This window comes from Homo sapiens, chromosome 14, assembly GCF_000001405.40.
Source record: "Homo sapiens chromosome 14, GRCh38.p14 Primary Assembly".
NCBI lineage: Eukaryota > Metazoa > Chordata > Mammalia > Primates > Hominidae > Homo > Homo sapiens.
The window spans coordinates 88,713,450-88,729,795 of NC_000014.9; the positions used below are offsets into that span (position 1 = coordinate 88,713,450).

Here is a 16,346-nt window from a genome sequence, read left to right on the forward strand (position 1 = left end):
CATGCACTCACTCACTTGTTAATTTATTTACTTATTTGTTTAGTTAGAGCCACGATCTTGCTCTTTCACCCAGGCTGGAGTTCACTGGCACGATCTTGGCTCCCAGCAGCCTTGAACTCCCAGCTCAAATGATCCTCCCACTGCAGGTGCATGCCACCACAACCTGCTCATTTTTTTTTTTTTTTTTGGTAGACATGTGGTCTCACCATGTTCCCTGGCTGTTCTCAAACTCCTGGGCTCAAGAGATCCTTCCACTTTGGCCTCCCAAAGTGCTGGGATTACAGGCGTGAGGCACTGCACATAGCCTATTCCTCTCTTTTAAAATCTTTGGTTGCAATTCTGTTTTTCAAAGTTAGTTAGTTATATTATTAATATTTGCAAAGTTTATTTGTTTTTTTTTTTTTTTTGAGACAGCCTCTTAATCTGTGGCATAGTTGGAATGCAGTGGCAACATAACGGCTCACTGCAGCCTTATCCTCCCAAGCTCAAATGACCCTCCCATCCCGACCTCCCGAATAGCTGGGACCACAGGTGCATACCACCATGCCTGGCTAGTTTTTGTATTTTTAGTAAAGGCAGGGTTTCGCCATGTTGCCCAGGCTGGTCTCAAACTCCTGGGCTCAAGCTGTCGGTCCACTGTGGCCTCCCAAAGTGCTGGGATTACAGGCGTGAGCCACTATGCCCAGCCTGCAAAGTTTATTTGAGATAAACACAAAAAAAATGTATTGGTCACACACTTCTAGTAATTATATTCACTTAATTAGTTCCACCCATAAAAATGGCATTTTTGACTAAGATACAGTGGTACTTTACCATACACTATACTCATGGTATGGTATTCAATAAAAAGAGAATCTGTTTTAGATCCTCCAGCCAAAGCAGTTTTAATTAAGAACCAAAGGATTTATAGTAGTAGTTGCCAGGGACTGGGAGAGGTAGAGGTTGGTGGGGGCCGGGGTGGATATAAGGAGATATAAGTTTCAGTTATACAGGATGAATAAATTCAGAAGATCTAATATACAGCTTGTTGAGTACAGTTAATAATGCTGTTACTGTATGATATACCTGAAATTTGCTAAGAGAGTGGAACTTAAATGTTCTCACCACACACACACAAAAATGGTAACTGTGAAGTGGCAGATACATCATTTAGCTTGATTGTGGAAATGGTTTCACAATGTATCTATCAAAACATTACATTGTAAATTTTCAATATATACAATTTTTAATGTCAATTATACCTCAATAGAGTTGAGAAAAAACCCAAAAGGATTTCAATATAAGGCAGCCTTATTGTATTATATTGTAGAATTATTGTAGAATACAATAATATATTGTATTATATTGTAGAAAAGTCTACAATGCCTGAAATATTAGCTCAGATCTTCTTTGATTTCCTATGATCAAATGTAACTTACACTCTGCTTCCAGTAAAACTCTAAAATATTGTATAGGTACTACAAATCTATAATTTGCTAGAAATTGTTACCTGGCATTCTATAAAAAAGTCTTTTCCCATTTCCATCATTTGTCTGCAAATATCTACTGTCTGAAGACCAGTCCAGATGAGTGATGAAACTAAGGGATCCCAAACACTCGCCAACTTTTTTATAACGCTGAGCAACTCCATAAATATCAACCGAGCTGTCATTGCATCCAACAGCAAGGTAAGTTCCATCTGGTGAATATTTTAACTCATGAATTGCCTCCTTCCTATCTTTAATATGTACAACTTCCGTCATATCTCTGTTAAAAAGAAAAAAATGAGACTACATGAACAGAAGTCACAACAGAATTAATGCCGTTTCAAACATGTCTAAAATGACCGTGAAGCTGTATCAAGTGTTTATAAACTATAAAGTAAACATAAATAACACAAGTAGTATTAATTCAGCAACAATACGTTGCTGAACAGAAATACATGGAAACAATATATGCCAGATGTACAGGAAAATGCTGAATTTCAGTTTCTAAATTACTTTAAGTACTTCAGAGATCCATACTAAATTTCTGGAGTTAATAAAGAATAAAGGAAATAAAGTAATAGATTTTTATGGTAAAAGAAGTTCTTTGTAAATATGGAGTTTATGAAAAATGTTTAATTTAAACACTATAATTTTCAAACAATTTTTTTTTGTAAGGAGCTAAATGTGCAAAATTACATTTAGGAAATAATAAAGGATGAATTCATCTATATTACTTCAGTAATACTTTTTTTTTTTTTTTGAGACAGAGTCTCGCTCTGTTGCTTAGGCTGGAGTCCAGTGGCATGATCTCGGCTCACTGCAACCTCCACCTCTGGGGATCAAGCGATTCTCACCTCATACCTCAGCCTCCCGAGTAGCTGGGATTACAGGTGCACACCACCATACCCGGCTAATCTTTTTGACGTTTTTAAATAGAACACACATTCCTCCCTTAGGGACCATGTTGACCAGTGAAGTGGAACTTTTTTTCAATGATGACTTCTTATTGAGTATCCAAAATAATACAGATATTAGTAACAACCAAAAGATGGATAAATATGTAGTAAAACACCACGGAGTTTCCAAAGTTGTGGAGTTTGTGGGCAGGAGAAGGAGAAACAGAGGGAGGGAGAAAAGGTAGGGGGAAGTAAAAATTCTTATTTTCAATCAGTGTCAGAGACTTTTCTCCAGAAAAATTTTGCTTTTATTGACTTCTGTTACACATGTGCAAGAATTAATCTTCAGTTGTATTTGAGTCACTATACAGCTGTGGGCCTGTTAATTACAGTACTTACTGATTATGCTAACCAACATAGTACTAGAAATAGAAATAGAAAAATGAGCCCCAAGATAAATCCAAGATTGTATTATTTGAAGCTTCTGTACTTTTTTTTAAAGTTTCCCTGGTCAACATCACTTCTGCCTCTGCAACTTGCAAGGTCCTCTTCCTATGCATAGACTCATACAGCTGCCTCTGCATTTCCCAGGGACTCCTTCAAGTTAACATTAAATCCATATACCGTATTGCCCTTTGCTCCATATCCATCCATCCATCCATTCCTCCCTCCCTATATGGAGTAAGATTTTTAAGAAAAGTCTAAGGCACTATTTGGCAGCTTTTACTTTTTATGCCTCCTTTATTTAAAATTTTATAATTATAATCTTCATGACCTGCATTAAAATGCTTCTGGAAAATTCTTCAGAAGTATTTTGGTATTTTTTATAGCATTTTTGTTTAGAGACTTAATTGCTTCCAATTAAGAAGAGAAGAACGTCTTATGTCCAAGGTTTTCTGTTAACATGTCCACTGCTCACCAACACACACACACACACACACACACACACACACGGTAGAAGGTAACAGAGAGAGATTGTGGTTGACTGATTGGTATTTTAGTATAATATCGCTCCGTCAATATTGTGAATTATATGACCACTCTCTCACATGAAGAGTTTCTCTGACAAATTTAAAGCAAAGACGACAACTATTAGATGAAAATTTGTTAATTTTTTAAAACATTCTGAATTAAGTCTCTGGGAGACTAATATATGATCACTATGGTTTCTTTTAAGAAGCAGAAGGAGGCAAAAGCCTGGGAATACTCATACATGAACAGTTCATAATACATCACAAAGTAAAGGTACAGAGTTGATCAGAGCATACAACCGAAGAATCATTTCTAGCTGAGTGATTCTGGGGAGACATATCAAAGGAAGTGGAGTAGATAGCTATGATGTCTCCATTTTGTTCTGAGGAATGAATGAGATTTAGCTCAGCAGAAGATAGGAAATGGAGGTAAAGGACCTGTTTCAGCAGAGACAACAGTATGTGAAAGAGCTGATGGCAAGAGAAAGTATTCAAGTTCAGCTTGTGACGGCCACTGTAGTTGAATGGACACAAACAAGGGGACTTTGGTGTGAACTCAGTCTGCTGAGGGAGAATCATGAAGTGGGGGCCTCATATGTCTTATTAAGATTTTTGGCCTTAATTTGTGAGGTTAAGCTAGGATAAGATGTACCAGTCAAATCACTGATTTGGTTCCAACGTAAAAAACAAATAAGGCTGGGTGTGGTGGCTCACGCCTGTAATCCCAGCAGTTTGGGAGGCTGAGGCGGGCAGATCACAAGATCAGAGAGAGACCATCCTGGCTAACACGGTGAAACCCCATCTCTACTAAAAATACAAAAAATTAGCCAGGTGTGGTGGCATCCGCCTGTAATCCCAGCTACTCAGGAGGCTGAGGCAGGAAAATCACTTGAACTCGGGAGGCAGAGGTTGCAGTGAGCTGAGATCCTGCCACTGCACTCCAGCCTGGGTGACAGGGCGAGACTCCGTCTCAAAACAACAACAACAACAACAACAACAACAACAAAACAAATTAAAGGAGCATAGTAATAGGATCAAAACCAATTAAAAGGTTACTGCAGATGATGGTTTCTCAGACTTCAGAAAAAAGTGAGCTTCTTTAAAATACAATGTAGTATTATACTCCATACTATTATAGGACGTAATACGTACTATAGGTTAAAGATATAATTCTAATCTTATTCACAAACCTTAATTAAAATGTTCCTAGAAAATTAATTAGGAAAGCAAAATCAACAGGATGTGGTGCTGATGGATTACAGATGGTGGGTTCAGGAGAAAGAGGTATCAAGGAAAACACCTAGGTTTTTGCTTAGGAACATGGATAATGGTGCCATTAACTAGGATACGGCCCATAGACAGATGATCAGTTTGGGAGGGATATCATGAGTTCAGTTTTGGAAATGCTGAGTTGCAGGTGCCTTTGAGACATCCAAGTGATGTTAAATAAGTAACTGGATATGCATAGCTCGAGTTTTGAGATAACAGCTGGAGCTGTGCATCCAGGGTCATTAGGCTATGCGTGGTAACTGACAGCAGAGGCAGAATGAGACTATCTAGGGAGAAAACATAGAGTAAAAAGAAGAGAAAGTCTAGGCCTGAGTTTTGAGGACCTCTAATATTTACTTGCTGGGCAAAAGATAATTAGCCTATGAAGAAAATGGGGCTAGAGAGGTAAGCTGAAAACAGAAAGAGAAGAAACACCTAAAAGCCAAGGGAGAAAGCATTTTGAGAAGCAGCAAGTGGTTAAGAGAATCAAATACTGCTGGAAATTCAAGCTAAATGAGAAGTGAAAAATGTCTCCTAGTTTTAGGGACATAGGGTACAATTAGTCAGTGTTTTTCAACATAAAGCTGAAAGCAGAAGGCATATAGGAATGAGGATAGAGGTTGATAATTAGAAGAAAAGAGAGAATAAAGTTAGACAGTTTTATGAGAAATACTCCTGTGAAAGGGAGGAAAGTAGAAATGTGATGTAAGAGAGAGAGACTTTGGTTTGAGGCATGAAACTTAAGATGGGACACATTGAGCATGTTCTAATAGGGCTCTTTGGTGGGGGTGCAACCAACCATTTCATGTGAAAAAATAATGGACGTACACAAAGAGTTACTTTTTTAAAGCCAGGAGACAACTTTTGGAACTTACTACTCCCAAGACGCAGAGCAGAAAAAATATAAATAATTTGAAGAAAAATTTTAAATGAATGTGTGATTTCTTCAGCAAAAACTGTCACGATCCCTTTTAAAGTTGATAAAATGTGGTAGTAACACTGTCAGAGAGAGACAAGTGGCTAGCCATTGGTAGAATCTAAAATGACAATTTGACTAGGCATGGTGGCTCGTGCCTGTAATCCCAGCACTTTCAGAGGCCAAGGCAGGAGGACTGCTTGATCTCAGGAGTTTGAGATCAACTGGGCAAAATGACAAGACCACATCTCTACAAAAAATTAAAACATTAGCTAGGCATGGTGGCTACTTCCAAGTAGTCACAGCTACTTGGAAGACTGAGATGGGAGGATCGCTTGAGCCCAGGAGTTCGAGGCTGCAGTGAGCTGTGATTGTGCTACTGTACTCCAGCCTGGGCAACAGAGCGAGACCTTGTCTCAATCAATAAATAAAATGACAATTTTATGTATTTACAACTATTAATAGTCTATCCCATACCCTGTGGGAAACCTTACTCCATCTTCAGCATAATTCATTAGCCTTGCTTATCAAGCTCTTCCACTATTATGAAGTCTCTCTCACTATTCATGAGAAGGAATGGGTGCCTCTGAGGAGTTTGCTGTTGATAACACAGTGTAGCTTACTGTAAGTCAAAGTTCCATATGTGTATATATAATTTTCTACTTTAAAATATTTGCAAGTTTTCATATGACTCTATGATATGAGCTTTTTTTTTTTTAAACAGAAAATGGTGGGAAGTGAGGACAGCAAAATGGTGGAAAAGGACTTTCCAATGCTACTCCCCTTGCAGAAATACCAATTTGAATCATCCATGCATAAAAATACCTTCACAAAGGAGATAGACACATGAAAATCCCTCCAAAAAATTAATTAATCTAGGATCTGGTTTTTTGAAAAAATTAATAAAATAAATAGACTGCTAGCTAGACTAATGAAGGAGAAAAGAGGGAAGAATCAAATAGACATAACAACAAATGATAAAGGGGATATCACCATTGACCCCACAGAAATACAAACAACCATCAGAGAATACCATAAACACTTCTATGCATATAAACCAGGAAATCTAAAAGAAATGGATAAATTCCTAGACACATACACCCTCCAAAGACTGAACCAGGAAGAAGCTGAATCCCTAAATAGACCAATAACAAGTTCTAAAATTGAGGCAGTAATAAATAGCCTACCAACCAAAAAAGGCTCATGACCAGATGAATTTATAGCTGAATTCTACCAGAAATACAAAGAGGAGCAGATACCCTTTCTTCTGAAATAGCCCAACAATTGATAAGGAGGGACTCCTCCCTAACTCATTTTATGAGGCCAGCAACATCTTGATACCAAAACCTGGCAGAGAACCAACAAAAAACTTCAGGCCAGTATCCCTGATGAATATCAATGCAAAAATCCTCAGTAAAATACTGGCAAACTGAATCCAGCAGCCCATCAAAAAGCTTATCCACCACAATCAAGGAGGCTTCATCCCCGAGATGCAAGGCTGGTTCAACCAATGCAAATCAATAAACGTAATTCATCACATAAGATCTAAAAACAAAGACCATATGATTATCTTAATAGGTGCAGAAAACGCCTTTGATAAAATTCAGCATCCTTTCATGTTGAAACCTCTCAATAAACTAGATATTGAAGGAACATCCCCCAAAATAATAAGCTGTTTATGACAAACCCACAGCCAATATCATACTGAATGTGCAAAAGCTGGAAACATTGCCCTTGAAAACTGGCACAAGACAAGGATGTCCTCTCTTCACCACTCCTATTTAACACAGTATTGAAGTTCTGGCCAGGGAAATGAGACAAGAAAAAGAAATAAAGCATATTCAAATAGGAAGAGAGGAATTCAGATTGTCTTTATTTGCAGATGACATGATCCTATATCTAGAAAACTCCATCGTCTCAGCCCAAAAGCTTCTTAAGCTGATAAGCAACTCCAGCAAAGTCTCGGGATATAAAATCAATGTGTAAAAGTCACAAGAATTCCTATACACCAACAACAGGCAAGCAGAGAGCTAAATTATGAATGAACTCCCATTCACAATTGCTACAAATAAAATACCTAGGAATACAGCTAATAAGAGAAGTGAAAGACCTCTTTAAGGAGAACTACAAACCACTGCACAAGGAAATAAAAGAGAACACAAATGAAAATATTCCATGCTCCTGGATAGGAAGAATGAGTATCATGAAAATTGCCATCCTGCCCAAAGTAATTTATAGATTCAATGCTATTCCCATTAAACTACCACTGATATTCTTCAAAGAATTAGAAAAAAACTACTTAAGACATCATATGGAACCAAAATAGAGCCCGTACAGCCAAGTCAATCCTAAGCAAAAAGAACAAGGCAGGAAGCATCACGCTACTGAACCTCAAACTATATTACAAGGCTACAGTAACCAAAACAGCATGATGCTGGTATAAAAACAGATGGGTAGACCAATGGAACAGAATAGAGAATTCAGAAATAAGACCACACATCTACAACCATCTGATCTTCAACAAACCTGACAAAAACAAGCAAGGGGGAAAGGATCTCCTATTCAATAAATGGTGCTGGGAAAACTGGCCAGCTATATGCGGAAAACTGAAACTGGACCCCTTCCTTACACCTTATACAAAAATTAACTCAAGAGGGATTAAAGACTTAAATGTAAAACACAAAGTTACAAAAAACCCTAGAAGAAAATCTAGGCAATGCCATTCAGGTCATGGGCATGCGCAAAGATTTCATGAAGAAATCGCTAAAAGCAGCTGCAACAAAACAAAAATTGACAAATGTGATCTAATTAAACTAAAGAGCTTCGGCACAATAAAAGAAACTATCATCAGGGCAAAGAGGCAACCTACAGAGTGGGAAAAAATATTTGCAATCTATCCATCTGACAAAGGTCTGATATCCAGAGTCAACAAGGAACTTAAACAAATTTACAAGAAAAAAACAACCCCATTAAAAAGTGGGCAAAGGACATGAGCGGACACTTTTTGAAAGACAACATTTATGTGGCCAACAAACATATGAAAAAAAGCTCAACATCACTGATTATTAGAAAAATGCAAATCAAAACCACATTGAGGTACCATCTCACGTCAGTCAGAATGACAATTATTAAAAAGTCAATAAACAACAGATGCTGGTGAGGTTGAAGAGAAATAGGAATGCTTTTACACTGTTGGTGGGAATGTGAATTAGTTCAACCATTGTGGAAGATGGTGTGGCGATTCCTCAAAGATCTAGAACCAGAAATACCATTTGTCCCAGCAATCCCATTACTGGGTATATACACAAAGAAATATAAATCATTCTATTACAAAGATGCATGCATGTGTATGTTCACTGCAGCACTATTCACAATAACAAAGACATGGAATCCACCCAAATGCCCATCAATGATAGACTGGATAAAGAAAATGTGGTACATGTATACCTTGGAATACTATGCAGCCATAAAAAGGAAGGAGATCATGTCCTTTGCAGGGACATGGATGGAGCAAGAAGCCATTATCCTCAGCAAACTAATGCAGGAACAGAAAAGCAAACACCACATATTCTCGTTTATAAGTGGGAGCTGAACAATGAGAACTATGGACACAGGGAGAGGAAAAACACACACTGAGGCCTTTGGGGGTGGGGTGAGGGGAGGGGGAGCATTAGGAAAAATAGCTAATGCATACTGAGCTCAAACCATTTATGCCTAGTGCTCCATTACTGGAACGCTAAGCTTGTGGGAATTATTTATATCTTACTGCTCAAGGTCATTGCCAAGGTCTGATTTTTCATAAAAAAAAATTTGCAACCCCTGGCATAAATGGGTTAATACCTAGGTGATGGGTTGATAGGTGCAGCAAACCACCGTGGCACATGTTTACCTACATAACAAACCTGCACATTCTGCACATGTACTTTGTAACTTAAAATAAAAATTAAAATAAAAAAAATGTTCATAAGAGCTAAGAAAACATGGTGAGAGATTATAGAATCTGTATGTAACACAGCAATAAGGAAAGACATATTTGAAGAAGGAGGGAAGGACAGTTTTACATTACTCATGTCACCCCTTCCCTCAAGCCAACCTAAGTGTCCATCAATGTACACATGAATAAAAAAGAGATATACTATTCATTCTTAAAAAGGAAGAAAATTAGCTGGGCACAGGGGCTCATGCCTGTAATCCCAGCACTTTCAGCAGCTGAGGCAGGAGGATTGCTTGAGGCCAGGAGTTTGAGACAAGCCTGGGCAACACAGTGAGGCCCAGGCTCTACAAAAATTTTAAAAAATAATTTTAGAAAAGGAAGAAAATCCTGTCATTTGCTACCACACGGATGAACCTGGTGCACATTATGCTTAGTGAAATAAACCAGGCAGAGAAAGACAGATACTGCATGATCTTGCTTATATGTGGAATCTAAAAAAGTCAAACATAGCAGAGAGTAGATTGGTGGTTAACAGGGATTAGGAGTACAGGTGGGAAATGGGGAGATGTTGGTTAAAGAGTACCAAGTTTCAGTTAGAACGAGTTAGTAAGTTCTGAAGATATACTGTATGGCACAGTGATTAGAGTTAATAATAATGTAGAATATACTTGAAAATTGCTAAGACACATCTTAAATGTTCTCACCCCCTAAAGTGGTTAAGTATGTGAGGTGATGGATATGTTAACTAGCTTGATGTAATCATTTCACAAAGTATATGTATAACCAAAATCTCATGTTGTACGTCGTAAATATATACAGTTTTTATTTGTCAATCATGCCTTAATGAAGCTGGGGGGACACAAAAATAAATTTTTAAAAAGGCAGACTGGTTACAAAATAATTTTAAAATTGTTAACAGTTTTTATTATGAAGAAAAGATAAGTTTTAAGAAGATATTGTGGCTTTACCCTGGCATACCACCTTATATACTAATTTAAGAATCATGATGTGAGATTCTAATTCATTCTATTTTCTTCCAACTCTAACATAACCCCCACTCCTGGTGCAGGTACTTTAATATGTTATGAGCCGGGCACAGTAGCTCACGCCTGTAATCCCAGCACTCTGGGAGGCCGAGGCGGGCAGATCACAGGGTCAGGAGATCAAGACCATCCTGGACAACATGGTGAAACCCCATCTCTACTAAAAATACAAAAAAAAAAAATAGCTTGGCGTGGTGGCACGCACCTATAGTCCCAGCTACTCAGGAGGCTGAGGCAGGAGAATCGCTTGAACCTGGGAGGCGGAGGCTGCAGTGAGCCGAGATTGCGCCACTGTACTCCAGCCTTGTGACAGAGCAAGACTCCATATCAAAAAAAAAAAAAAAAAAAAGTTATGTTCAGTAATGAATCCTGCTTTACCATATGGAGAATACAAAGCAAATCAAGAAGAAATAGTAACCAGATAAATTCAGATGGATTAAGAAGACCATTTTGTGAGTTAGAATTTTGTGGTTCACTTTTAAAGGCATTTAATAATCAGAATAACCCTTTCAATACTATTAGCAATGTTGGATTCAGGTGCTAAAATACAGTCTTATTAGGAATAAAAACTTTTTCATCCAGTCTACTGCATTCAGTAACTGAAAGGGCAAGTAAATGTATAACTAAAAAAAAATCACTACTTTTGAATGTGTATCAGATATGATAGGAATTCTTAGGTGTTTTACATGCATCTTAAATTCTTGTAAAACCTCTATAAGTGAGCACTCCAATTCCAGTACTTCCAATACTTTCAGTTCTTACAGAAAAGAAAAAATGAAGCTGATCATGAATATTAATTATTATTCATAAGTAATGACCAGGTGTTTCTATTTATTATTTCTAACCTGCAAAACTGAAGAGCAGCCTCCAAAGAAATTAAACAACCAATGAGAAAAAGAACAGATGTTTAATCTTAGATGATGATAGTTACAGAGATTCCAGAATCAATAGATCAAATCAGTGCCCAAATTATAACAGTATGGATAGCCCAACAGGGAGGTTTCGTAGTCTTTCATCTCTCTTCAAGAAGCTGTTTCAGCATGACAAAATAAAGTAATATGACATATTTATAGAGCTCTGTGGAAAAAGCTTTAATTTATATTCAAATGTTATATTCATTTTTTTAAAATATGAGGTACCTAGAGTAGTCAAATTATGTCTTTCATAGAGACCCAGAAAGTAGAATGATGGTTATCATGGGCTTAGGAGATGGAAGAATGGGATTATTTTTTACAGGGTACAGAGTTTCCATTTGGGAAGATGAAAAAGTTCTGAAGCTAGAGGGTGGTGATGGTTGCACAACAATGTGAATGTACTTAATGGCACTGAATTTTACATTTAAAAATGGTTGAAATGTGAAGTTTATATATTATATATTTTACCACAATAAAAAATGTTAACTTAAAAACCGGTCTCGGAAAGGGGAGTCAGCACGTGTAGAGGCTCAGAAGTACAAGAAAACATAATGTATCTGTTCATAATGGGGAGATGTTAGTTAAAGAGTACGAAGTTTCAGTTAGAATTAGTGAATAAGTTCTGAACATATACTGTATGGCATGGTGATACAGGAAAGGAGTTTCCTATAGATGAAAGAAACTGGGGTACTGAGAAATAGGCTGGAAAGATGGGCACTACATACCACGTGAAGGATTATGAGCTGCATCCTAAGGACAGTACAAAGCCTTTATCATACTTTAGAAATAAGAAGAAAGCACACAATGTGTTTTAAAAGGAATCACCATCACTGTGGAGTGAAGAAAGGTCTTGAGGGAAACCAAACAGGAGGTAAGAAGATCAGCTAAGAGGCTATTCCACCAATCCAGTTAGTAGATGACAGAAGCCTACACAAGAGTACAATGGTGAGAATAGAAGGAAGGAGATTAATATGAGAGCTATCTCAGAAGTAGACTCTCCAGAACTCTTTAATTAACTACACAGGGGAGGCAAAAGAGAGAACTGTGTTAATAGTTTCTGAATTGAGCAACTGAGCGAAGGATCTTACCGTTCACTGAGGTAGAGAAGAAAGACTTCGTAAGTACTTATCCTGTGGATCTACAGCAAATTTCTTACTGACTGCATAGAATTCAATTGAATTTATCTATCTATAATTCAACACAAAATGTTAACTGCTTTACCAAATTCTTTAAATTTTTCTAATTACTCAAACAAAAGAAGAGATGGAAGCATTTTTTAAAGCATAAGGCTGTAAATAACAACAACAACAACAACAACCCCATTTTAACAGCCTCAGCTTGTTAAACGGAGAGGGATCATTACTGAAAATCTATACTAACAGGAAAAGGTAGTTGGGACCCAAACTTTATAGCTCAAAATTTTAGCCATTAATCTATTAAGCATTCTTAACCCCCCAAACCAAGGCTTCTGAATTTATTTTTCGGACAAAGCTATTTTTATAAATATATTTTTATACTTGATGAAATTAACATCTGAAATATATTAATAAGAAGGGGAAGAGAAAAGGATAAATAGGTAAAAACAACAAGTATTATATATTCTGTATCGCTGAAGAGAAAATTACTTATATTCTGTATCACTGAAGATAAAATTATTATGTGTTTCTACCCTAATACCATACCTTACTCTAAGTACAGTGAATGAGCCATCCTTCATTCCAAGGGCAAGATGGATTCCATCTGCATTGACAGCTGCACAACGAATTGGTTCTTCCATATTACACCTTGCTATTAATGCATGATCTACTAGGCTCCATATCCTGTAAAATTTAATTTAAAAAATAAAAAAGGTTAGCTAATGCATACTTTAGTAAAAATATTTTGGTTAAAATAATCTCATCTTAATTAAGATAAATCTAGATATCTTAACTATCTGTTGTGTGGCAAGAAATTCTTATCTATGAAAATGGGAATTGTTCATGCTTAAATGACAGAAGTTGATAGAATCTTTTGCTTTGAATTTTTTTGGCGACATCACGTCACTCTGTCACTCAGGTTGGAGTGCAGTGGCGTGATCATAGCTTACTATAACCTTGACCCTGTGGGCTCAAGCAATCCTCTAGCCTCAGCCTCATGAGAAGCTGGGACTACAGGAATGTGCCACCCAACCTGGCTATGTTTTGTTGTTGTTGTTGTTGTTGTTGTTTTGGTATCCTTTTAGCACAGTTATAGTGTCACTGCATAATAAACACAATGTTTTGCCATCTAATTGAATAACAGTAAAGTCCATGCTCCACTTTGCCTTAAAAATGTAACACTCAAAGTCCAATTTTATCTTTTTCCTCTTATGTCAACATGATGAGTATGCACTGGTGATAAATAATAATGTCACCATATGGTAATGCACATAGCGGTCAAAATTCTGTCAAGTTGTAAATGTGTCACTGAAATTTGTAATGAGCTGAGGAGCAGTGCAAAGGGATGTGAGTATACCATCTCTTTCCCAACTTCTCAACTCTGCATCTGTAGTGTGATACACTGCATTTTTTTTTTTTTTTTTGAGACGGAGTTTCGTTCCTGTTGTCCAGGCCGGAGTGCAATGGTGTGATCTCGGCTCACTGCAACCTCCGCCTCCCGGGTTCAAGCAATTCTCCTGCCTCAGCCTCCCAAGTAGTTGGGATTACAGGCATGCACCACCACGCCTGTATTTTGTATTTTTAGTAGAGATGGGGTTTCTCCATGTTGGTCAGGCTGGTCTCAAACTCCCAACCTCTGGTGATCCACCCACCTTGGCCTCCCAAAGTGCTGGGATTACAGGTGTGAGCCACCGCACCCAGCCAATACAATGCATTTTTAAACAATGCAGTACATTGATTCTTTCACTTTTAGATAGGTTATTTCTACCCTGACCAAAGGGAGAGAGTGTGTGTGTAGACACACATATGTATATATCCTTATGTACATACAGTCTAGTGTTTAAAACTATCCAAATTCAGAATCTGTTCCAGACCACAATGCTAGAAATCAACAACAAAAAAGATAACTAGAAGATACCCATTGTTTGAAAATTAAGAATTATACTTCCATATAATCTAAAAGACAAAGACAAAGATGAACTCTTAATGATTTGTTACTATTTTGAAGTAAGTTATAAAACTGCTTAAAATCAAAACTTGTGAAATATAGCTGAAACAGTACTTAGGAGGAACTTTTGGGAGCTTTAAATGCATATACAGTTGGCCCTCTGTATCCATGGGTTCTGCAGCTACAGATTCAACCAACCATGGAAGGAAAATGTAGTTAGGCCTATGATAGTTGCATCTGTACTGAACATGTACAGACTTTTTTTTTTTGTCATTATTCCCTAAACAATATAGTATAACAACTATTTACACGGCACTTACACTGTATTAGGTATTATAAGTAATCTAGAGATTTAAAGTACAGTTGACCCTTGAATAATGCACCAGTTAGAAGCACCAATTCCCATGCCATCAAAAAGCCACGTCTAATGTTTAACTCTCCAAAAACTTAACTACTAGTAGCCTACTGTTGACTGGAAGTCTTATCAATAACACAAACAGTTGTTTAACATACACTTTGTGCATTATATGTACTAATACTGTATACCTACAATAAAGTAAGCTAGAGAAAACAATTAAGAAAATCATAAGGAAGAGAAAATATAATTGTTATTCATTAAGTAGAAGTGGATCATCATAAAAGTCTACATCCTCATCATCTTCACATTGTGTAGGCTGAGGAGGAGGAAGAGAAGAGGCTTGTCTTACGATCTCAGGGGTGGCAGAGGTGGAAGAAAATCCACCTATAAGTGGACCCATGCAGTTCAAACCTGTGTTGTTCAAGGAATAACTGTATTTTGGAGGATGTTCAAATTATATATCATTTTATATAATGAACTTGAACATCCACAGATTATGGTATCTGCAGGGGGTCTTGGAAGTAATCTCCCCCAAAAATAGCAAGGAATAACTACATTATAAATAAACAAAGGCTACAATTTAATAAATAGGCATCTACCCCCAAGACATTAGAAAAAGATCAGCAAAACTAAGATTTTCTAAATGCTTTTATAGTATTTTTAAAATTGTTACTAGTTTATAGGAAAAATGATTTTTGTATATTGTTTTCATATCCAGAAAATTTGCTAAATTCTCTTTTCAATTCCAGTAATTCATCTTTGGATTTTTCTATATATATAAACACATCATATATATATATAACCAACTGAGAATGGCAGTTATTTTTTTCCTTTCCAATCTGTGTGTGTGTACGTGTACATATATATACACATACATATATATGCTATACACATATACATTTGGCCTTACTATATTGACCAAGACTTCTAGTCTATAGCTGAACAGAATGGTGAAAATAGCATAACTGTCTTTTTTCTGATTTCAAAGGAAAATCTTCAATACTTCAACATTAAATATGATATTTGCTGGTGACATTCTATGCTCTTACCACAAGGGACAGCAAACCATGTCCTGTGGGCCAAACCAGGCCTGCTGCCTATTTTTGTACAGTCTGAAAGCTAGGAATAATTTTTACATTTTTAAATGGTTGAAAAAAATGTTTTAATAAAATTTTGAAACACAAGAAAATTATTTGAAATTCTACTTTCTGTATCTGTAAATAAAGTTTTATGGAAGTATAGGCATATACTTATTTGGTTTTTTGTTTTTTGTTTTTTTGAGACAGAGTCTCACTTTGTCACCCAGGCTGTAGTGCTGGCGCAATCTTAGTTCACTGCAACCTCCGCCTCCCAGGTTCAAGTGATTCTCGTGCCTCACCCTCCTGAGTAGCTGGGATTACAAGCATGTGCCACCATTCCCCGGCTTATTTTTGTATTTTTAGTAGAGACAGGGTTTTGCCATGTTGGCCAGGCTGGTCTTGAACTCTTGGCCTCA

General features: G+C 37.0%; 1 protein-coding gene across 25 annotated transcripts in view; it reads right to left on the minus strand.

The window, feature by feature from the left end:
- The window catches only part of EML5 (EMAP like 5), a 180,523-nt gene that overhangs the window by 101,019 nt on the left and 63,158 nt on the right, over positions 1 to 16,346 (minus strand). For all 25 annotated transcript variants that reach the window (XM_047431057.1, XM_017021065.3, XM_047431056.1 and 22 more), the window contains 2 exons: positions 13,092 to 13,229; positions 1,490 to 1,746 (listed from right to left, as the gene is read on the minus strand). In XM_047431057.1, coding sequence (XP_047287013.1) covers positions 1,490 to 1,746; positions 13,092 to 13,229 — 395 coding nt within the window. The remainder of the gene's footprint in view (positions 1 to 1,489; positions 1,747 to 13,091; positions 13,230 to 16,346) is intronic.